At 46.6% G+C, this 23,684-nt stretch overlaps 1 long non-coding RNA gene across 1 annotated transcript in view, besides 1 other annotated feature; it reads right to left on the reverse strand.

The window, feature by feature from the left end:
- The window catches only part of RBM15-AS1 (RBM15 antisense RNA 1), a 52,797-nt gene that overhangs the window by 3,871 nt on the left and 25,242 nt on the right, over nt 1-23,684 (reverse strand). The window contains exon 3 of the long non-coding RNA NR_036595.1: nt 2,142-2,262. This is a non-coding gene — a long non-coding RNA (RBM15 antisense RNA 1). The remainder of the gene's footprint in view (nt 1-2,141; nt 2,263-23,684) is intronic.
- Nucleotides 4,296-4,454: a silencer, noted in NCBI's record as "fragment chr1:110837163-110837321 (GRCh37/hg19 assembly coordinates)". NCBI's record gives its function as "represses an EF-1alpha promoter that drives an FKBP-Casp9 reporter gene in an ReSE screen in HepG2 liver carcinoma cells {active_cell/tissue: HepG2}" and the evidence as "EXISTENCE:reporter gene assay evidence [ECO:0000049][PMID:32094911]".

The following is a 23,684-nucleotide window of genomic DNA, read 5'->3' on the forward strand; positions in this document are numbered from 1 at the left end:
CCCAAAATTCATGTCTACCCAGAACCTTGAAATGTGACCTCATTTGGAAACAGGGTCTTTGCAGATGTGAAATGAGATCATACTGAATTAGGGTGGGTCCTAAATCCAATGATAGGTGTCATTATAAGAGACAGGAAAGGACACAGACACACAGGGAGGAAGGCCATGTGAAGAAGGAAGCAGAGATTGGAGCTGTGCTGCCACAAGCCAAGGAAGGCCAGGAGCCACCAGCAGCGGGAACAGGTAAGGAAGAGTTCTCCCCCAGTGCCGTCACAGAGAGCATGGCCCCACCAACACCTTCATTTTGGACTTTTGGCTTCTGGAACTATGAGAGAATACATTTCCCATTGTTTTAAGCCCTTGAACTTGTGGTACTTTGTTATGGCAGCCCCAGAAAACTAACACAGAGTCAGAATACAAGGGGCTGGTGAAGGTTAGGTCAAATGGTCAACCATTGAGTAGGGACCCAGGCAGGAAAGGAAGGGACATCAGGAGGAACTGGTAGACTCAGAGAGGTCTAGGGCTGAAGGTCTTGAGGAAGAATGACAGGTTTGGGGAAAAGCTGAATGAACAGATTTATATCCTGAGGGTGGTATATTTAAAATTAAGATTTTAGAGGTGTCTGTTGGACAAGAAGTTGTAAAAAAAAAAAAAAAAAGATTTCAGAGATGGAACAGTTCCAGGTGACTATAGGTGTAATCAGATTAATCTCTTTTTTAGTGGAGAAAAGCTGCCTGACAACAGATTTACCCAGCCTGGCAAGACAATTTATCCTCCTTGGAATCTGCGCTTTAAATCCAAGGACTAAAGAAGAGCCTATGTTCTTCTGAGAAATTACTATTAGCTCCCTTCATGTCGAGGCATTTCAGACACTGCCTGGGAGTTTTGTGTTTTAGGAAGGTCATAGGGGTGGGGGACAAGGTCTCAAATCTCAGCCTGTGGGTGAGTCTTCCCAGGCCTGGCCCAGGCTTTCAGAGAAAGGCACCCCCCAGAGGCTTTCAGAAAGGTGTGCTTGTCTGGAGACCCCTGGGACATTAGATGGCAGAGAAAATAAAACCCACCAAAATGGCAAGGCAAAGCTGGGCCATTTGAGGAAATTCAGAAGGAAAAACTCCAAACAGAATCTGAAGGTAATAAAGTGACAACTCTACTGCAAGCCAGAGAAATTCTCAGAGTTGCCCTGGGGCCAGGAATTACTCAATTAAATAGCAAAAGCCCAGAGGGAAATGGAGAAACAGTACCTCTTCCTCCTTTACCTGAAGCTCTGCTCCCCCTATTCCCTTCACCCCATATGCCCTCTGCTAGCAGCTTCTCCCCGCAGGCCCTACCCTTAGACCAGTCTGCCATCACATCCCAGCTGTCAGTACATTCCTCCTTTCCCACTAGGACACGAACACTGATGGATCTTCTCTCCTCCTGCTCCTCTCTGGCCCTGGTCCAGGCTGTTTTCTATCACTTTCTCTCGGGAGCTTTCTAGCTGAGCTTTCCTATCACTTTCCCCTGGGGCGGGGGAGGGTCTCATTTCCACCTTCTCAAGATATTGTCTCCTATTATATATTTATTTTTTCTTTTTTAGCTATCTCCTGCGGAGAGGGTGGTCTCCTACTATTTAAACAGAAAAGAGTGTTTGTTTTGAGGGAGAGTGGACAGGCAATAAGGAAGTTACATTTCTTTCCTTACACAGTGCCTGAGCCAAGAGGACTCTGGCCCTAGTATCCACGTGACCAGAGCATCCTCAAGCCTGCCTCGTCAGCCCCTGCACTGTCCCCCAAAGGTCCTTGCATTTGCCAGCCCAAGACTGTCAGGGGCATAACCCTCTGACCATATCCTCACACTCTCTACCTTTAGCTCATTCTCCTCTCCCTGTGGCATCCTGGGCACCACTTCTTCCTCTCTCTCTCCCTAGCCCTTTCTCCAAATCCCCCAAGTGGGAGGGATAGGTTGGGAGCAGAAGGCTGTTTAGCTTTTACAAGCCCGGTGCAAGGATCTGCTAAGAACTATTCCAACGACCATGTTTTCCAGAACAGATTTTGTATTTAATCAATGAAGGTGTTTCTCTCCCAGCAGACAGCTAATCTCCAAGAGCCTCACATTCATCTTCTCTCGGTATTTACTCAGATGGGAAAAGTGGCTCCTCTTACCCTTACTGCCTGAAGATCATTCTTCCTTTCCCCAGCTTCTCCCCATTCACATCGGGGAATTGTACTATTCGACCAGCTCTCTCCTGTGCGAAAAGTCAGAGGCGAGTGAGAGGATGGTGACCTGGGGAGGCAAAGTGACAGAATATGTCAAAGAGCAGTGACAGTCTCTAGGTTGTAAGCTGCCTGGGATGGCATGGGGGATGGTGATTATACTGAGTCACCACTGATGAAATATTTATTGAGCTGTAAAGGAAACACTCCAGGGTAAAGCAGAGAAGCAGTAACTGATTTAAGATGCAGAAGTTCAAGTACTCACACCATTGCCTCACTGTGCAGGGACAGCAAGTTCTTTACCTTCTCTGGGTGTCAGCTTATAGGCCTGGGCTGTCAGGGCTGGAAGGGAGCAGACAGAACCTTTATTGGAACCTCACCTATTAAAGATGGGGCATTGGTGGGTTGCTGATGACAGAACCTGAAAAAACCTACTCCTCTACAGCAGGTCGAATTCATGACCTGAAACTGAATACTTCCAGCATATTTGTTCAGGGTGTAGATGGGAATAAAGTATCTTTGCAGTGCTATGTTCCCTCCATCTTCCCAGACATCTGACACCCTGAAAGCCATCCACAGCTGTGGAGCCTGAGCGACACCTTGATTTGTGTTGTCACCTGACCAAGCCTAAAGACCTCCAGCTCAGTCCCCCACCTTCATCCCACCCCCCACATGATAAAATTCAGACCTCTCTCCTGAAAGGCAGAGGTTAAACATTCGGGACTGTTTCTGGCCGAGGACTTCTTCCAATTTAAATCCCCACTGTGGGCTGTCTCCCCTCATTTCATTTTTCTAAAGAGGCAGAGGCTCTTTTAAAAAATAATAAAATGCAATTTATGTGATTTACTTTTCTGATCTCTTTGAGAAACAGAGAAATATAAAAGTGTGTTCTTAACTCCAGAACCACTCTTTTTGCATAAATACCTCATTGGGTGGCTTTCTAATTGTGATTTTCCTGAGTCTCCCTTCATTGGATCTGCCGGAAGACTTGTCAGGGAACCTTTAGTGAGGGTACTTCTTCCTATTTTTCTTCTGTTTTTGGAGGCATGCACATTATGCATAACCAAAACAATGGCTCAATTGTGTTTAACTTTGTATTTTGATTGTTGAAAACAAAAACAAAAAGTATCGATGTGTATGTGGCTGTTTGTAGTGAATTCATTGCAGAATGAGGTTGTCCGCGTCCTTAACAAGCTAAGGGGCAGGAGGCACCCTCTCTTATTCTTATTCTCTTCTCCAAGAGCAGTAGATAATTTAAGCACAAGCCTATTTGTGAAAGAATATTTTGCTTAAGTGCCATTCACCTGAGTCTTGGAATTCCTTCCCAAACGTCAGGTGTTCTTTCAGCTTCCAAACTAGCATATGTATCCATTAGTCTGACAGATCACCTGAACACCACTAAGAGGTGTGGTGTTTTTGCTTTCATTTCTCCTGCTGGGAGAAGTGGCAGTTCATGTGTCATTCAGTATCTCACATACTCACACGAGGCAGGGGGGAGGGGGAAACGGGGAACTGTAGCAATATTTAAAGATGCTTTGGAAACCAACCGTGAACACATCAACACCACGACATCTACGATTACTTGCTGTTGGCCCTCGGACACATTTAAGAGAAAGAGACAGTCACTCTTTTTTTCTTAAATGATATACACATAGACAGTTATTTTTATTCTATTATAATTGTCTTTTACCTTTATCTAGTGCTATGTGGAAAGGGTTTGCATCATAGATTTTTCCCAGCTTTATAATATACCACAAGCTCCTACTTCCCTGCTCCTCTCTAATCAGTATTCTTTCAAGAGTTCTTTGGTGAAGCCAGCTATCTGAAACTAAAATGAACCAAACCCATATCACTGGTGGTTGGAGAAAACCATGGCCAAAACGATTGTGGCAGGTCTCAATCTTGGGAGTTTTTAAGAAGGAATGTGCCAGAGGCCTTTCCCAAGAATGGAGTTTTGTTTTGTTTTGCAGAGGCATTCAATGTGTCTGGTGCTCGCTGGCCACAGCAGTTACTACCACAGAGACTTCTGGGAGGGGCCGTTGTGTTGAAGGAGGCTCCTGCCTGAGGGACAGCATCAGGTAGTGGGCTCTGTAGAGTGAGAACCAGGTGGACGCCTTCTGTGCCCAGCTCCGAGTCCTGCACCACGCCAGGACTGCCCCGGCCAAGGGCTACTGACGCAGGTTCCACTCATTCCACTGTGTGGGGGGCCTTGCACCTCTCCTAGAAGGGCTCCTGGAGAAGGAATTGGAGTTACGTACAAGTGACTCCAATTTATGGGAAGCTTTTCTTTTTTTTTCTTTTCTTTTTTTTTTTTTTTATACAGAGTCTCGCTCTGTCTCCCAGGCTGGAGTGCAGTGGTGTGATCTCGGCTCACTGCAAGCTCCGCTCCCCGAGTTCACGCCATTCTCCTGCCTCAGCCTCCTGAGTAGCTGGGACTACAGGCGCCCGCCACCACGCCCAGCTAATTTTTTGTATTTTTAGTAGAGACAGGGTTTCACCTTGTTAGCCAGGATGGTCTCGATTTCCTGACCTCGTGATCCGCCCGCCTCGGCCTCCGAAAGTGCTGGGATTAAAGGCGTGAGCCACCGCGCCCGACCAATGGGAAGCTTTTCTAGATGAGATTGGATTAAATTCCATGTGATTTCTCTTTCCCTTTAATTCAGGTTGGGACTCGTTTCTTTCTGGTGGATCACAGCTGCCCAGATGTTGCAACTGATTTTTATGTTTCTGTAGAGAAGTACTTTTCTTTAATCTTCAGGATTTTTTTTGCCACCAAAAGAAAACATGGAACTCTGTGTTTCCTCTTGATTATGACTTCCCAGTGTTGACAGTTAAGTCCTTAGTGTTGCAGGTCCCAGCCCACCAATACTATATCAAACACTGTTATGCACATAATGCAGCACTGTGATCTAATTTAAATAATACTTTTTTATTAATTATGCTACTATATGTAATATACATCAACACTTTCGCCATATAACCTAGGTGATAACCCTCTTTTAGTTACCTGCCAAACTCTGGACTTGGTTTATATTGCAGTTAACACAGTTACAAAGTTGTAATGGTGTCTTTTTTTCCTTTGTAACGGAATGTGTAAATCAAAGTATATACATTGTGTGGTGTTCCCGTTTCTGGAGTTTCATGAGGATTTACACATGGCATTCAGTGTTCTGTATAGATCTGCATACCTTTGTAAATTCATCTGTTAACCCCTCTTCCTTTGAGAGAGCACCGGCGATGGTCGTTAACTCCTTGTATTTTCTCTCTCTCCTACTGGTTATTCTATTTTTTTTTTTCTCTCTCTCTGTCGCCCAGGCTGGAGTGCAGTGGCGCAATCTCAGCTCACTGAAAGCTCTGCCTCCCGGGTTAACGCCATTCTCCTGCCTCAGCCTCCCACTAATGGTTATTCTGAATTAAGCACAGACATGTCAGCTCAGTTGCTTTATCATGAATAATGTGTGTGACCTTGCAGTTCTTCCACAGTTCAGCAAACAACTGCTAGCTTCACTGACCAAAAATTAAGTAAGGAAAACGCAGTTTTTAAAATGATCCATCTTTTAACAGCCGAAACCGATGTGTCTATGGTGCTGCATCTTGCTGTTGTACTTCTGAAATCAGACCTGTGTGAATGATCATTTCTGACTTAACTGTGAGATGCTCACGAGTACCCTTCCTGTTGTTTTGTTAGTGATGAAATCAAGACTATTTATTTGGAATATATACAACAGTGTTTTTCCATTGTATTTCATTTGCAAAAGTTGAGAACTGCTTTCTCTACCTTTTGCAAAATAATTGATATTCCATATTGGATTATCAAAGACTTCAATATGGTGAACCTGTTAAACCTAGAAATTGTATTCATCCTTTCATGACTGTGGCCTGAGTTCCCCAGCCCCTCTCCTCCTTTTTTTTGGATGAGATTTAGCACACTCTCAGTTATTTAAACATGCAACATTTCTTAAGTATGTATGTTGAGGCCATCTGAGCTCATAGCTGATTCAGTAACCAGTTTCATGCTGTGTCATTCACACTCACTACTTTATACTGCCATGGTGAAAATGTGGAGGAAAAATGTATCCATGTGTGTCTGGGAAGCATATACACTTGTATATTTTTTAATACTCTGATTCTGTAACATTTCCCAGTTTTGTTTTGTTTTACAGAAAAAAAAAGTGATAAAGCAATCAGAAGACCAAGAGGTTTACTGTTGATGCTTAGGGTCGTCTGACCTTGGCTGGCCAATAGACCTACACGGCCAAATTAATTTATGAGAGTAATAATTTTTCAAAAGCCAATTTTTTTTCTGTATTTTCTTTGTGAAACTGCCAATATCATGAATAGAAAGGGAGAACCATAAAGGAGAAAGAACGTGATGTTCAGTTATGATCGTGTGAACCTAAAGAAAAAACGTGGAGGCAGGTGCCATCAGCCGAACTCTAGGGACTTGATGGTGTTGCTTGGAAGGCATCCATACCTGCATTTTGCATTCTTTGTATGTAATCATATTGCCAAAGACAAACTATTTCATCATTTCTTGTAAATAACACTCTTCCACAGACCCACCATAAAGTTTCTGTGATGCATTGTCTTCCAGTTGCAATAAAAATTACTGAGTTGCATCAATTGGAAAAAAACAAAAAAAAAAGATAGGGCATTGGACTTGGAGAGGCTGAGCTGCTCCAAACTGTAATTCCAGATGGACGGAGGCAGGGACAGCATCAAGAGCCAGCCTCCAGTCCCTGGCCACTGTCCTGTCTATCTGCTAATTAGTTTGGGAAAGACCTGAACCTGTTTGATCAGCAAAGAAGCCATTGGCCTTCCTTCCAAGTAGCTCCAAAAGGAGCGGCCTCAGATGAACATTAGGAGGCTTGGTCAGGTCCCAGCAGGAAACAGAAGGATCCTCAACTGGGATTATGAAGGTAATTGCATGAGGGAACCATTTGCAGAAGTACGGCAAGGTTAAGGGAATCAACAAGGAATGCTGAGACAGGTAGGGACCAGCAACAACAGGAAGCTCTTCCTACTCTCAACCTGAGGAGATGCATGGAAGAATGGAGTCCTCAGGACCCAGAAAGTGTTGGAGCCATGCAAGGGGGCTGCCCAGAAGGAGTTGTAGTCGTAGAATTAAAGCAAGGCAGGGAAGGAGGGAGCAGAAGAAACATCCTGACCTGTCTCCTGCCTTTGATCTCCTGCCAAAGCTTCCTGTTAATCTAACCCAAACTGGAAGACAGAAGACAGGAGAGCCCTGTGATACTATGCACAGAGATTTGTCTCCTGGAGCATGGAGCAGGCAGAAAATGGATCTTGGACTGGGAGCAAAGCAAAACTGCAAAACCAGCAGATGGGGTGTTGTAGAAGGTGCACCCCAGTAGAAATAACAAGTCCTTGGAAACCAGTAGTCAGTATGAATCCTGAGTTTCCTGCTTACTAACTGTGTGATCTTGGGCAAGTCACTTTACTCTCTGAGCCTGGGTTTTCTTCTTGGGGCTAAGTATACCCTGTTGATGGAGTAGTTGTGAGGATTAAATGAGACACCTTATGGGAAAGTGCCGACCATGTACAAGGTTCTTATAAGGATTGTTTTTCCTTCCCTTCTGAGCCCCCCTTCCAAGCTCTGCTGGACTGGAGGCACTGGAGTAGAGTGGAATGGAAGAAACACACAAACTTTGGATTCAGACCCTGGCTCCACAGCTACCAGCTGCATGACTTTCCACAAGTCACTTAACTGCATGACCAGGGGCAGGTTATGTATCCTCTCCAACTTTGTTTTCTTAATGGTAAAAAGGGACTACCCAACTCATAACATTGTTGTGAGGATTAGAAATGATGTAAGGCACCTACTAAGGTATTGGGCTTATGGTAGGTAAGCCCTGGAATTAGACTAATTTCAAATCCTATTTCCCTCCTTATGAACCATGCAATCTTGCACAAGTTTTTGGATCTCTCTGAGCCTCAGTTTCTTCATCTATAAGATGGGGATAATAAAAGCACCTCTTTTTTAGGGTTGTTGATAATGAAGTGAAGTCATGGGCACACAATGTGCCAGGCATAGAGTTGGCCCTCAAAAGTTTGTTGTTATTGATCATTACTATTATAAGTCTTATGATGTTTCTTGTGTATCTTTCCCCAATCAAGCATCCAACCCTTCTACTCAGACCCCCAGAGTCTTTGCTGGAGAAAAGCAAGTAGGGAATGGGACCAGGGGAGACAGCTAATTCAGAGGGGATGGGTTCATGGCATAAGAATGGCTCAGCCTGCTTGGCAAATGCCTTTGCACATGCATCCAGACATGAGGTGCAGTTGAAAACTCAGCCTGTAACTCTTTGGCCTTCCTCTATCAGGTTGCCCAAACAAGAGGATGGCCTGCCCTCCAGCTTTCTCACCCTCATCCTGGGCTGCCTGATGCCATGTTGAGACTGACTGGCTTTCAGTTAGATAAAAACAGAGGAAAAGGGGGAGTGTACAGTATGTCTAGACTTGACACTGTATGCCCCAATCATAATTTGCTGAACACTTACTATGTGCTAGGCATTGTGGAGACTTAACATAATTAGCTCACATCAATTTTGGCAATATTTGAAATTAGCCAAATTGAAATAGTAACATTAGTAATACTGGAAGTTAAAGCTCAGGGAGGTTGAGGAACTTGGCCAGCATCACATAGACAGTAATTGGCAGAGTCCACATTTGAAATCAGGTCTGATTGTTCCCAAAGCTCAAGCTTGGGCAGCCGTGCCACGTGGCCTCCCGGAAGGATGGCTCATATGTTGAACATCAACACAAGTGTTTAGGGAGAGTGTGGGAAGACAGGAGTGAGGAATGAGCCTGGAACAGATGTGAGAACAGCATTGTCTGCCATTGCCGGTCACTTCCCTAGGAGGCTTGGGGACTGAGAATTTCTGAGGCTCCTTTCCCTCTGATATTCTGTGAGCCAGACCCTAACTGCCAGGGTCCTGGAGAAGAGAGACAAAAATTCCTCTTCCCAAGGCCCCAGAAGCTGGCCTCTTTCCCTCCTCCCCATCCTAGTTCCTTAGGGCTCAGATCACCTTTTCCTACCCTGAGCTGCAGAAAGTCTCTTAGCTAATGGTTTAGTGTGCCCCAGAGGGTGCCTAGAAAAAGATGGTGGACTTTCAGATGGGGGCCAGGAAGGAGGGGGCTTTTCCTTACATCATAATGCCCAGGTGCTTTTGAGCCCTTAGTCTGTCAGCCTCTCAGGCGAAATCTGTGGTCTTAAGTGTAAATGGACTGGCCAAAGGGTTGTGGGGAGCAGCAGCTGGACTGCTACAGCCTCTGTTGGCCTCTTCAGAGCACACATACTCTTCTTGGGACTTCTGCAGCCAGGAAATGTGGGAGCTCAGAGCAGTGAAGGAGCTTAGCCATGGGGTGGGGGAACACACAGCCCTGGGTGCCCCTCAGAGCTGGACCCCCCAGGATGTTCATTGGTTTCTTCATGGATTCCACAGTTTTTGAGCATTTATTTTAGGTGAGCCCTGTGTAGGCAAAATCAGATAGAATCATGCCCTCGAGTTGCTTAGATATCATAGGGGAGATAAAACGTGCAACACAAAAATACCAAAGTGCTGGGCACAGTGGCTCACGCCTGTATACCCAGCACTTTGGGAGGCTGAGGCAGGGGGATCACCTGAGGTCAGGAGTTCAAGACCAGCCTGACCAACATGGTGAAACCCTGCCTCTACTAAAAATACAAAATTAGCCGGGTGTGGTGGTGCACGCCTGTAATCCCAGCTACTCAGGAGGCTGAGGCAGGAGAATCACTTGAATCCAGGAGGTGGAGGTTGCGGTGAGCAGAGATTGCGCCATTGCACTCCAGCCTGGGCAACAAGAGTGAAACTCTGTCTCAAAAAACAAAAAACAAAACAAGCAAAAACAAAACAAAACAAACAAAAAACAAACCAAAACAAAACCCAAAGCATGGAATGTTATCCAAACCTCTTCTTGGCATTTATAAGTATCTGAAGGGATCAGAAAGACAGCAGGTAGGGGAAGGGGATGCTTCCATAGCACTTACTGTATACCAGTCACTGTTCTAAATGCTTTGCATACATTAACTCTCATAATCCTCACAACCACCCCATCATTCTACAGATGAAGGAACAGGCATAGAGAGGCTAAGTGACTTTCCTCAGGGCCTAAAGCTGGTAAGTGGATTTGACCAAGGCTGTGTGGCTCAGAGTCTGTGCTCTTATCTAGGTTATTGTGCGGGGATCCTGCCTTGCCCTCAGGTCTTATCACCTGATTGTTAAAACACAATGATAAAAAAACAAGCACTAATATTTTCACCTGTATTATGCTCAGTTGTTAAAAATCAGTATATCTGCAACATGTTAATATGTGTCATTGTTAGATTATAAGCTACAAAGAATCTCATTCAGCTATACTCATTGAGTGTCTGCCAACAGCCAGGCACTGCTGTAGCTGCTTAGCATATTCTAGGTCAATTTACTTCTTGTAACAGCCTTGGGAAATAGGTGGCAATTTCCCCCTGGGTTCCAAAGGAAGAAAATGAGAGACAGACAGCAAAGATATTTGCTACACCAGTAACTCCTGGAACTAAGCTTTGGACATAGTTCTTTTAACACCAGCTTTAACTTTTACTGCTTTTAATTTTAAAGATGAATATTAATATGGTTAATCTTCATTATATAGAACCACATACAGTGTAGCCTATACCTAGTATCTTTTTCATTTGTTTTTGCATGTGAAGTAAGCTTTATTTAATTTTTTTTTTTTTTAGCACTAGCGTCTTAACTCCTAATATTAAAGAGCATGGAATGTGGGCTTTGAATTTGGCTCTGAGTTCAAGTTTTCTGGTTATCAGTATAAGGATACAAACTTGGGCAAATCTCCTCAAATCACAGTCTCCTCATCTATAAAATGGGGATTATAATAACCAACTCCATGAGGTTATTGTAAGGATTACATTAAATTTCATACAGAAAGAGCCAAGAATTGTGTATGATACCCTATATACCCTACAGACTCAGCAAACAGTAGCTATTCTTTATAGACAGCTACATAGCATGGGTCCAATAAATATGTCATGGAGTGATGGGTCTTATGCAGTCCTCTAATACACATCTTCATTTCATCCCATCAGTACCGTTGGGAGATAGATATTCTCATTTCAGAGACAGATATCCCACATCTAGTAGATGATGGAGCAGAATCTCAAATGCATATCTCCTGACTTGCCATTCCAGTGACCTCTCTGCCTTCCCTCATCTGTTCAATGGGGACAATGGCAATGCTAGTCTTACCATCCATTGTGAGCCTGGGAGATTTGCGTGATGGGACAGTTGCCCAGAAGGATCACAAAACATTAATGGTGACCTCTCTGATGGTGAAGACAGGTGAGTGCCTCCAAGACACATGTACCAAGGTACTGTTCTAGAAATATCAATCCTATGAGGTATTAAAAAAAAAAAAGTTCCTTAGCCAAATTTGTTGGCTATGGCCACTGGCTATGGCCAGTCCTATCTCAGAAAGCCCCTATTTGGCAAATAAGTCCTGACTTAGAAAATCCCTAGGTCTGCAGCTTAGTTAGAAATTCAGTATCTGGAATCTGGCTGTTGCACCCAGGTGTACGTGGTTTGAGTGAAGGTTTATTGGTTAAGATATTGATGATGGCCCACTACCTCCTTGGGTTAAGAGGAGATAGACACCTGAGAGAGAAGAGACTCCTGTTCCCCTCACCCTATGGGACCCCCATTTAGCATTAGCTGTGTGAGCCCTGTGATTCAGAGTGTATCTGTGTGAGGTTGGATTTATTAGTTGATCTTACCCTAGTCTTTGTCTAACCAGTTGCCTTCCATCTTACACTTGGTCTTAGCCAAAAGGCTGAGAAGCAATGCCTTCTAACCTTTATCTGAGATAAGTAGATGTTCTCCACCATCCTGAGCACTATCTTAGGGTTCTGTATCTGCTTGCCCTAAGCCATGTTGATCTTGAGTTCCCACACCTTTCTTCTTGGAATATCACAACGTTCATTAACATATTAGGGCTCTAAGAAATGTGCTTTAGTTAATCACGGGTCTCTTTGTCCTACAACACCTATTAATAGCCTACAGCCCATAGAACACACTTTGGGAAACACTGTCCTAACGAAAGAGAACCCACGTTCCATTGCCTAACAGAAGGGAATCCAAATTTCACACACACCTTAATGAGCCTCCACTTCTGAGTAATCAATAAGAAGGCATTAAAGCTTACCATGTGCAGGGGTCTGTGGGATGGAGAATGTGGGAGGCTACAAAGCTGTGCTGAGCCCCCAAGCCTGCTCTCGAGGAATCCACAACATGATTGAGAGAGATAAAACACCCACATAATCAAGGCTGAAGGAGGCCGAGTGTGGTTTAGTGCCAAGGATGGTGTAGGGAAGGCATCAACGTTGCTCTAGGAGAATTCACCCAGGGAGCAGACCAAGGGACAGAGAAGGAGTTGGGAGGCAAACTGATGATAGACCTGGCACCATGGAGGTTCTTTCAAAGGACAAGTTGGTCCCAACTTGGAACGAAAGAAAGCAATCCCAAGTGAGGCTGAGAACCCAGCCAGGTACGCCATCAGGTGTGGAGGAGGAGGCTTGGCAGGGCTCTGGCTGAGCAAGCAGCAGAGCAGTGGAGAAGCAGCCACAACCAAAGCCCTGCAGAGCAGGAGCATCCATGAATCAGATGTGGAGGGGGATGGAGGAGGCTGTGGGAAGTGGGTCCCAAGAGGGCAGTCCAGAGATGGGGGAGAACATGCTGGCCCCAGCTTTGGAGTCTCTGACTCTAGGTTCATGAAGGGCAGAGTGGGTAAGGAGAAAGGGCATGCACCAGTTGTCCATGAGACTTCTTTGCATGGCTCTGTACACCAGAAAACAAAAAATAAAACAGCGAGGACAACGAAACTGAAGTCTGAGCTCAGCTTCATCCAATAACTATGTATGGAGCACCTACTCTGTGAAAGAGACTGCACCAGCCCCATCTGGGTCTCTGCCCTTGAGAGTAGAGGGCTAGGGGTAGAGGCCACATGTGGGAAACAACAGCTTAATACCAATTTGTAAAAAGTGCTTGGTAAACTCTACCAACTGTAGGTCCTGCATTCATTCTCTCATCTGGCTTTGGGCAAGAGAAAGCTTCCTGGGCTGGTGACCAGGGTGGACTTCATTCCATTTAGCCAAACTGATATGAATGAGCCCAACATGTGCTGGTTCCTAGGAGTGGGTTCAGGGACAGATAAGGAAATTAAAATTGTAAGGCCTCACTTAGGTGCTGTGACAAAACCAAAAAGATCCTAGAAGCGTCTGATAGGCCCTTTTTGGTTCTGTCAAAGCACCTATGACTGGCGTTAGGGAGACAAGGGCTATGCCACAGAGGTAGTATGCCCGAGCAGATCAGAAAGGCAATGTGGAGTAAGGGCGCTGCCTGGGAAGAAAAGAAATTGGCAGACTTTAGAGGTAGCTCACAGGGAACTGTGAATAATCTTGGCCAAGCCCAGAGGATTAGGCCTTCCATAGGACCATCACAGCTCAGTGTGGAGTAGAGGAGAAAAGCTGAGCATCCCAGCCTGGTTAGAGTGTGGGCTGGAGAAGAGGAACAAGCATGACAGATCTTCCAAGGCATGCTAAGGAGTCTGGCCTCTACTGGGGAGCCATTGAACATCCATTGGTGGATGTTGCAAGGGGCAGGATACCATTAGCTTTGCCCTTTAGAAAGAGCTTTCTGGACTGGGTGCAGTTGCTTATGCTTGTAATCCCAGCACTTTGAAAGACTAAGGCAAGAGGACTGCTTGAGCCCAGGAGTTCTAGACCAGCCTGGGCAACATAGCAAGACCCCATCTCTATAAAAAATACAAAAATTTGCCGGGTGCGGTGGCACGCACCTGTAGTCCCATCTACTCAGTCGGCTGAGGTGGGAGGATCTCTTGAACCTGAGAGTTTGAGGCTGCAGCAGTGAGCTGTGATTGTGCCACTGCACTCCAGCCTGGATGACAGAGTGAGACTCTGTTTCAAAAAAAAAAAAAAAAAAACAAGAAGAAAAAGAAAAAGAAAAGCTCTTTCTGGTGCCTCAGAGAGCTGGTGCAGCCAGAGGCAGAGGACTCCGGTGAAGCTTAAACTGGGACCTGAGGGTGGCTTCAGTTCTGGCGTATGGAGAGAGTGGGTCAGCCTTCAAGACTGGGAGAAAACTCTGGCCTTAAGGAAATGTTGACTCTGGGGATGGAAGTAAGAAGCAGGCTAGACCCCACTTGGCCCCTGGTCCATGGCCCCTGTGGCCACACTGTGCTCCATCTCTTTCCTATCAACTCCCTTTCACCACTTTCAAATACTGTTTTGGGACCAGCCAACCTTGTATCCTGTAGAGAGGATAAAAATCAGCCGTGCCCCAAAGGGGAGGGAGGATAACAGAGGAGATAAAGAACTATGAATCAACAGAGGAGGGGAAGGATTCAGTGTAGGTTCTGCCCCTCTAGCTTGGTGCCTGGGCCAAGAGGTGGGCAGGGGTAAGTCTCAAGGGTAGAGCAAGCTCCAGGGACTCAGATGTTGGCTTTGAAGCACTGGCAAGGCAGCCCTGTGCCTAAAGTTCTCTCAGGGACCAGAAATGGACAGTCACGTCTGTTGATAATGTTCTCCTTCAATATTCTGAAGTGACAAGAGGATGTGAGATGATGACAATAGGCTTCGAAGCAGAGCTGATTCAGCTGATGTGGGAACCACATGTTAACATGTCAGAGACGACATGTTAGATTCAAAATGAAGCAGGGTCTCCAGGACACTGGATATTAAAGCATTTATAGTGTAGGTAGTCTGGGTACGGAGCAAGTGAGTGGCATTAGACAGTCTGGGCATGTAGTAGGTGAGTGGCAGATGAAATTACATTTCTCATCCTTGTGTTATGACACTTTTCCCCAAGCATCTTGCAGAATGCTACCACATCAGGCCTCAGTGCCTCAGGTCCTCCTACTGATAATGGGGTGGTGACCAAAGCCCTATGACTGGAAACCAAGGGCAGAGAACACAAGGCTCAAGCCCCTTTTGAAGCTGCAGAACTAGGACCATGAAGATTCAGTAATGCTTCCTGGCTGCCTAGCACTCTGCCCAATCTCTCTTCCCTACACTGTGCTGCTCAGTCTCAGAGACCCACAGGAATAAATGAGAATATCAGAGTCCAAAATCTGCCCAAGCCCAAGGGTAGAACTACATTGCCATCCACCAGGGTTCATCCACAGGGCAAAGCTGGGATGAAGCTGAGGGCCCAGGAGTGGTAACAGGCAGAGAGAATGAGGACATTCGGCTGAAATGACTATCAGCTACTTTACTTCTCCTGGTCTGAAACTATGCCTGTGCTGTCTAGTACAGTAGCCACTAGCCACATGTGTCTGATTGGATTTAAGTTAGTTAAAATTGAATGCAATTACAAATTCAGTTCCTAAGTCACACTAGCCACACTTCAAGTGCTCAGTCGCCACATGTGGCTAGTGGTTACCTTATTGGATAGCACAGGTGGAGAACATTTCCATCACTGCAGAAGGTTCTGCTGGATAGGTCTGTGGCACTCCAAAGTAAGATCAACACTAAAATCAAGACTCACCTCTTACACCATGTACAAAATAGGCTTTTCTGTCTCCATTTCCCTTTTCTCATGTATAGCCCTTCCTCCTTTCTTTCTCTGCGCTCCTCCTCCTCACATGCCTGGGGTTCCCTGCTCCATTGTGGCCAGACCTTTGCAGGCAGTGATATTCCTTGCCTGCTGACCTCTCGGTTAGCTCCTCCTCCTAGACCTTGGCTTCCTGGCCCCCTTCCACAAAAGTGGAGCACAGGAGAATTGCACAGGGAGCATTGCAGTGTGGAGTGTAAGTTCTGGGCCTCTGCCTTTTTTCTCCCCTGGTGACTTGGGCTGGACCTAAGGTTGCCTGAACCTGCCTCATCTGAGCCCAGAGCTGGCCCTAGGTTACCAGGCCTCTCTTCAGAGGGTCCTCTAGACCTTGAGAACACCCTTCCCCTTGGCCAAGAGCTTCCCAGTTCTTTGAGCCTCCAAGTCAAATACTCCTAGCATGTCTTCCCTGCAGGACACCATGCTCCTAAGGTGAGGAGATGGGTGCCTACTAATGCTACCCCATGGTAGCATTGGGATGTTGTCCAAGCTCCCCGTGTCTTTTCCATCTGTTCCGTTCTCAGGTGCTTCTTCCCAATCCTCTATCGCAAAATGTCCTCTGTGCTTTTAGGCATGTGACAGAGATTGCTGATTGATCACCAAATCCATCTCACCTTCTCTGGCATATGGCTAGGCTTCATTTCCCAGGCTGCCTTGCAGGTTAGCTGTGTTCTTGGGAATGAGTTTTGGTCAGTGGAGTGTGAGGTGATGTGTGCCACTTTCAGACCTGACTGTAAAAACATCCCAGTGTGGTCTCAATGTTCTTTCTTTCTGCATCCACTGGACACCAAATCCCAGGGCAGCCTTGGTTGGAGACGGCAAAACCATGGCCACCCAGGTCCCTGAATAACTGAGTAGAGCACAAGCCCATGCTACCAACCCGTACCTGCCCTGGAGTGAAAGGAGCCAGGAGACAAGGCGCACTCACATGTATACATATATGTGCACAGGCTGTCATCACATCTGGTTGGGGGTGCTCCTCTGGGCTCCTGGCCTGGTACTATTTCTAGTTAACAGGCAGGGCATGTCTGCCTCAAGGATCTGTGGATGAGGGGCCTTCTGCTTCCCCAGACACCTTCCTGTCCATGTCGCCTTTCAAGTTAGTCTGCAAATTGCTTTGGACAATCTTGCTCAGATCCTGAGGCCAGAAAGAACATTTCTTTCCCTGCAGGCCGATGACTTGACTCTTGCCACTTGGCAAGCTTCTTCCTCTCGCTGTGGAGAATGGGGCCAAGTGATGGTCAGAGGAGGGACCAAGGACTCCAGCTGAGACCAGATCTGATTCTAAGTGGTCAAAGGAGCCCCTGACCTTGGCCATCCCTGCATACCTCTTGCAGATAGAAGCCCCTGTGTCAGCAAATTTGGATTCAAGTTTCAGAGACTAGATTTGATGCACAGAAAGACGCTGCTTGATTTACCAAAGAGGCACAGGACAGAAGGCCTTCCTCGGACTGTCTCTGGCAATTTCCCGCTGTCCCACCCTAGGGATGAAAGGGGCGGTAGTCTCCTCAGACTGTGTCCATGGGTCTGGGGGTCCTTCCGCTTCCACTACTCTGTGATGCCTGCTGGGTGGGGTCTTCGGTGAGGCACATGCTCCAGCGAGTCTAAACTGCGTTAGAAGTAGTTTCTTAAACTACCTTAGTCAAGTGCTCATCAAGCCACAAATGAACAGCTGCCTCCTGCCTTGAGCCCGATGCCTGGATTATTCATCCTTTTTGGCTTTCAGATCCTCTTTTTGGATCCAGGCAGATACTGCTCCTTCCACAGCCACCTTAGTTTGTAATGTCATCTTCCCAGTCACCCCCTCCCCACTCCTGGCCCTTTTCTCTTTTTGGCTGGGCACATCTACCTCTTCTCCAGGCCCCTCCTTTCATCCTGGATAGAGTCTCTGGGGCATGGCTCCAGGCTTCTCTTGCTTCTAATCAGTTCCTTTCCCCCTTATCCCAGCAGCCTCACATTCATTTTGTTGGCTCCTCTCCATTTTACTGAGCTTTCCTTAAAATATCTCCTTCCTTTTTATCTATCTCTGTTCCATCCCCTTGGAAGTGTGGTCTTTAGTAGGCCCTTGTTTCTCATGCCTCCTGGGGCTCTTTCCTTCCTCATTATGACCATCCACCTTGTCCAGGCACCACCCTGCAGCTACTAGAATACATATCACTGATGGAGTGTGGAATATGTGCCAGGCACTATGTAAATGCTTTGCCTGCATTTTTTCACTTCATTTCCTCATAATAACCCCTTGACAGCAAATGCTATCACCCCCTTTTAGAGTGAGGAAACTGAGGGAGAACCACAGAGGTTGAGTAATTTGCCCAGAGCCACAGTCCGTGGGAGGAGGAATTCCAATCCAGCTCTCTCATGCTCCCTGTTCACCCTGCCTCACACACACTCCAAGTCAGCAGATATTTATGAAAAGTCTACTGCATACAAAGTGCTGTGGGTAATAGTTATGTGGGGAGGAAACAGAAAGAAAATAAGATTCTGTCTATGCCCTCAAAGAGCATCGCCTAGGGTAGGAGACATGCATACGTATGTATAACACTACATGGAAAGCCTAAGGGTTAAACATAAGCACAGTTTCTGAGCGCTTAGGAGAGGGAGTGGCCTAGCATGAGAGATGGGAATCTCCCTACAGGAGGCTCTTGCTTCTTTGAATCAAAAATCTAAACATGGAATGAGAGTGCATTTCAGGCAGGGATGCTCCAATCACGACAGGAGAGCAGGATTTGTTGCAGGGCATCTTAGATGTTCAGTACTTGAGCTCCGCATCAGATTCCTGATCACGTTGGCCTTGGACAAGGAATCTAACATCTTGAGGTATCAGTTTTTTAATCTGCAAATTGGAGGATGCATACTACCTGCGTCATAGGAGTGCTGGGAGGATTAATTGAGATAGCACATTTTGAGTAAAGAATTGAGCATAATAATGGGTATGTTTTAAGTGCTCAGTGATTATCATTCCCATAACCTTTCTTCTTGCCACAAAGTTTCCCACTCCTATGCGGTGAAAAAGGGCATTTATTGAATATCTCCTTAGAATGAGGTGGCTTCACATGGGTTAATTCATTCAATTCTCATAACAAAGCTGTAAGTTTTGTTTGGTGTAGTTGGTTGTCATCATTTTAACAAATGAGGGAACCCAGGCCTGGAGGGCTCAGCAATTTGCTCAAGGTCATCTGGTTAAGAGAGCCTTCATCAGGACTCCAGTGGCTCTGCCTGGCTCTGTAAGGCCATGTATTTTCCCTCTGCATGAGTCACCAAAAAGTCCTGGAGTGGAGTCACCAAGCGGAAGTGGAGGCATCAAGATCCAGGTGGACCTCAGAGTACATCAGGCCCCAAGATGTGGGCCTGTGGAAGGAGAGAGCCTAGAGGACTACTTTAAGTTAATGCTAGGCATTCTCCTGGTGACCCTGTGAATACTGAGCTATTTTCCTGCTCACAGTGGGGATAGGCAACCAGAGCATCTGGTTTTCCCTGAAAATGTCTACATTTCCACCAAAATCTGGCCAGTCTGCATGTGATAAAGGTAGGAGGATGTTGTCTACCCTTGCTACAAGGTAATAGGAGGACACTGGGAGTTGGCATCTTGATGTAATAAACACAGGATTCGAAGATAGATAGACATGGGTTCAAATCTCAACCCCAAGCCTTGGAAGCTGGGTGACCCTGCATGAGGCACTTCTGAGTGGCCCTTGCTTTTCTGTCTCTAAACACGGATGATCATAATCATACCAGTCTCCACTGACTCCAGACAGTGGTCATTAGATCCAATGAGTCAACACATGGGAGTACACTTTACAGAGTCAGTTATAACCAGGCATTAGCTGTCAAATGAATGAGTCCGGTATCTAGGAGAGTTCACTGCCTGAGGAAGGAAATCCAACCAATCCCCTGCCTGAGAGCCGAGAGCAGCCAGCTCTAAGGCACCTCCTGGAAGATCTTGCAGCCCTCTGGCACTGAGTTCTTTCTTCTCCAACTTCCTACCCCCACATGTTTATAGTCCACACCACATCTAGTTCTCACAGTTCAGAAAGTCCTCCAAGCCAGCCCATCTGAATCCTTTAATGACCTGCTCCTTCCCTGCTTGCTTTCCTTTGCAGAGCCTCCTTCTATCAATACTTTCCCCCTCACATGGAATCCATCCTCACACAGGCCTTTCAGGAGGAAACTTCCCCTGGGCCCCTGACCAGTGTTTCTTTTCAGAGCTTCATCATTTCCCAGGTGGCTGAGGTTGTAGATTTCAAAGCAAGGCCACAGAACGTAAGCTCCGGGCTGGTTTTCACTGCTTCTGCCAGCCCTGCTGCTTACCCTCACACGTCCCTGAAAAGCTTTGGCTGGAACCAGATGCCAATAGGCTAAGGTCCCTGTTGCCTGGCCCTCCACAGCATCCAAACCAGCAAACCAGGGGCTTCCCTGGGGCCGAGTGACCTTCTCTGGGAAGTAGGCCAGAGCTCAGCAAAGTGCTGCCTCTTCAGCCACTGTGACTGTGTGACGCCTGGGCTGAATCCCAAAGAACGAGGGCCCAGCTCTGCGGCTGAGAATCTCAGTAGGGGCAGGGCTACAGGGACCTCCATGGTCAGCAAGCTCAACCTTGTCATTGTCCAGAGGAGGATACTAAGGCCCAAAGAGGCTTGGCAATGTGGATAAGGTAGCAATCTGATAGCAGAGATGTGCTAGGCCATGGTCCTCTCTCCCAGCCCAGGGCTATTTACACCACCCAACAGCTCCTAGTGCCTGGACAAGAAGACTCCAAAGCCCAGCTTCCGATTCTTTCCTTTTGAGTTGCTCTTTGGCTTTCCCAGGGAAGAAGATGGCTGTTTAATTTATTCATCCTTCCAATTTCAGATTAAGAGGGACTGGAAAGAACAGGAGCTATAAGGTAAATACTATTAGTGTCCCTATTTTATAGATGGGGACACTGAGACTTGTAGATATCAAGTATCTTGCCTAAGGTCCCACAGCCAGTACATGGTGGTGCTGGAATTGCAATGCAGGTGACTGGCTCTATCACATTGTGCTGCCAGCACTACACACCTGGTGAATTACCCCTCAACCTGAGAAGCACTTGCTGCTCCTTGGAGCCCTAAAGGATAGGCTGGAATGAGGAAAACTCAGTCTGTCTCCCATCTGGGGTTGGGTAACACAAGCAGTGGCTAGAGTTTAGTAGAGAGGATGTATCCAAAGAGAAATCCCCAAGGAGGCAGAGAGACTCCAAGATTTGAGCAGCTCACCATAGGGATCGAGCCACTTTCTCCAGATGGTCACAGATGAGGATTCTAGCAGCAATTGCAAATGAGAGGAACTTTACCTCTCCTGGTTCCACAGTTCTCTGAGCCTCAGTTCTATTTATTTTTTAATCAGTAAAACTGGGAACTCAAATTACTTGTCCAAGATTCCTTCCTCATCAATAGCAAACAAGTATTGAGCACGGTGCTGAGAGCCTTTACATAGCAGCATCAGCACCCACCATCCCTCCTGGAGAGGAATGGGCAACAAAGTCCTTGCTTCAATGTCTTAGATTAGTTGAGAAAACACATTTTGAAGAGTGCATAAACTGGTCCTTGCTTGCAGGTTCAAGTGGCCCTTCTAACCGTCAGAGTCCATAAATGGAATGGGAATTTGGGGAATGGCTCCTTCCCATTCCATCCTCCAGTTTCCTCCCATTCCAGGCCTATTTCACCTCCCTGATTTCTTAACCCTCAGACTTCAAGAGGCCACGCGAGCCTTCATACACTGCGCATCTTTCTGCAGCAGGACTCTATGGGGGCCAGAGAAGCCTGGGGAGAGGTGGCTCCACGTGCTTTACCCAGAACAGCATTCCTTCAGGTTGAGTTCACCCTGCCCAGACTGACAGCATGGTGGGCATCCACTCTTCGCTTCCATTCTCAAAAAAACATCTGCTTCAACTGTTATCCCAAGCACACAGTCCCCCGACCAGGATGAGAGAGAGCTGGGAAGGAGAAAGAATCGCAATCTGCACACTTGCTTCATTATTCCACTTAATACTCACAGTAGCACCACCAGTTTATAGAAAAGGAAATCAAGTCTGAAAATGACTTACCCAAGGTCCCATGACATATAGATGGAAAACCAGGACACAAAGGCAAATCTGACTCCAAACCTGCCTCCTAACCACTCAGGTATCAGATTTGGCATTCACCCATTCATATCCAGAGAGTTAGCCTTTTATGCACTTCCAAATGGGGGTTTCAGCCCAGCCTAAGGAGAGCCTCAAACTCCTTTAGTGAAGTCCAGGCATTCTCTGAAGCAAACGGCCCCACCCATCCACCGTGGCAGGCCTGGCCTCCCATGGCTCCTCTGTGACATGTAGACTGGGCTGTCCCTGTTACTTGAAACACTTTGCTGGGAAGAGATCCCTTCAGCCTTCTCCCTGAGCCATCGCATGTTATCAGCCTCATCCTTCCTTCCTTCCCCATGCAGGAGGGAGCGACTTTGCCAGTCCAGAGGTCTGAGGTCTCAGCCTTGCCAGGTGACATCTAGGGCCTCATAGCCCTTGCTGGAGAGGTCCTTGCTGGAGAGGCCCTTGCCGGAGAGGCCCAACATGCTCACAACCCTCGGAATGTTTGCAGCTTGGCAGGACTGAGTGACCCAGTTTCCCCGGCAGGGAAGCTCACTTGGCTAGTGGGCTGTGCAGGGTTTGGCATCTGCACGTCTCTCCTGCCCTCTGCTGGTCACCAGGCAGGAGGCTTGCCAGGGCAGGCAATCCCACACTGTGTCCGCTGTGGGAATTGACTCTCAGGCCTGTAAATATTTGCTGAATTAACTGAATGAATGAGTGTATCATGTACAGTTCTAGGCTTTAGGGCCTAAAGTGGCCGAAGAGACAGGAGCTACTCTGGGAAAAGAGTGAATTCTGCTGAGCTGGGCCTGTGTTCCCAGCAGGCCTCCCCCTATACTTTCCTCCTGCGTCCCTGCATAACCAGCTCTCCGCTCCCTCAGAGGCGCTCCCCTCCCTCACAGCGTGCTGCCATTCTAGGATGAATTAGATCTTCCCAGGCCCAGGTCAACTAGTTTCATCACCACCTGACTCGTTACATTTCCTCTACCACATTCCCATGGAGTGGTCTCAAATCTCTGTTTGAATGCCTCCAATGGCAGGCACTCACTATCAGGTAGCCCTTTCCACTTTCCGAGAGCTATAATCAAAAGAATGCTCTTCTTTTTTCACACTAAATCAGCCCTGACACTTCCACTTAGAGACCCAGTTCTTACCTGTTGGTCACTCAGAAGTCTGACCAGGCCACCCTGTGACAGCCTTTCAACTCCTTGAAGACGGCAGTCATATTCCTGAGACTTCTCTTCTCTCCCCGCAAACACACTGGGCTCTCTACTTCCTGCCATTTATCTTAGTAAGTCTGGAAGACTCGGACAATGACTCTCCAGTGGTGGAATTCTAAAAGATGAAGGTATTTTCAGTCTGAAGACTTTCTGCACTTGAACTTAGCCAAAAGGCCAAGAAGCGAGTCTGAAGACCTTCTGAAAGGCAACTTTCTGTCTACTCTAGGAGAAGTCCTAAATCACAAAATGGGATAATTATTTGGCCACAGCTTGCAAATTTACAAAGCTCTTTCATAGGCCACCATCTCAGTGTGTAAAAGTATCATCATCCCAATTTTAGGGATGAAAACAGCAAGGCCTCACAGAGGAAAAATGCTTCACTGGTGATCATACAGGAAGCAAAAGCTAAGTGGTACTCAGACTCAATCTTCTGATTCCAAGTCTACCATTCTTTATACAAAGGCATTGCTGCTTCTGCCTTTTGAGAACGTAAAAAGAAAAAAAAAAGGCAGATAACAAGTATTGAGCACTTACTATATGCCAG

Source organism: Homo sapiens, chromosome 1, assembly GCF_000001405.40.
Source record: "Homo sapiens chromosome 1, GRCh38.p14 Primary Assembly".
In the NCBI taxonomy this organism is placed as follows: Eukaryota; Metazoa; Chordata; class Mammalia; order Primates; family Hominidae; genus Homo; species Homo sapiens.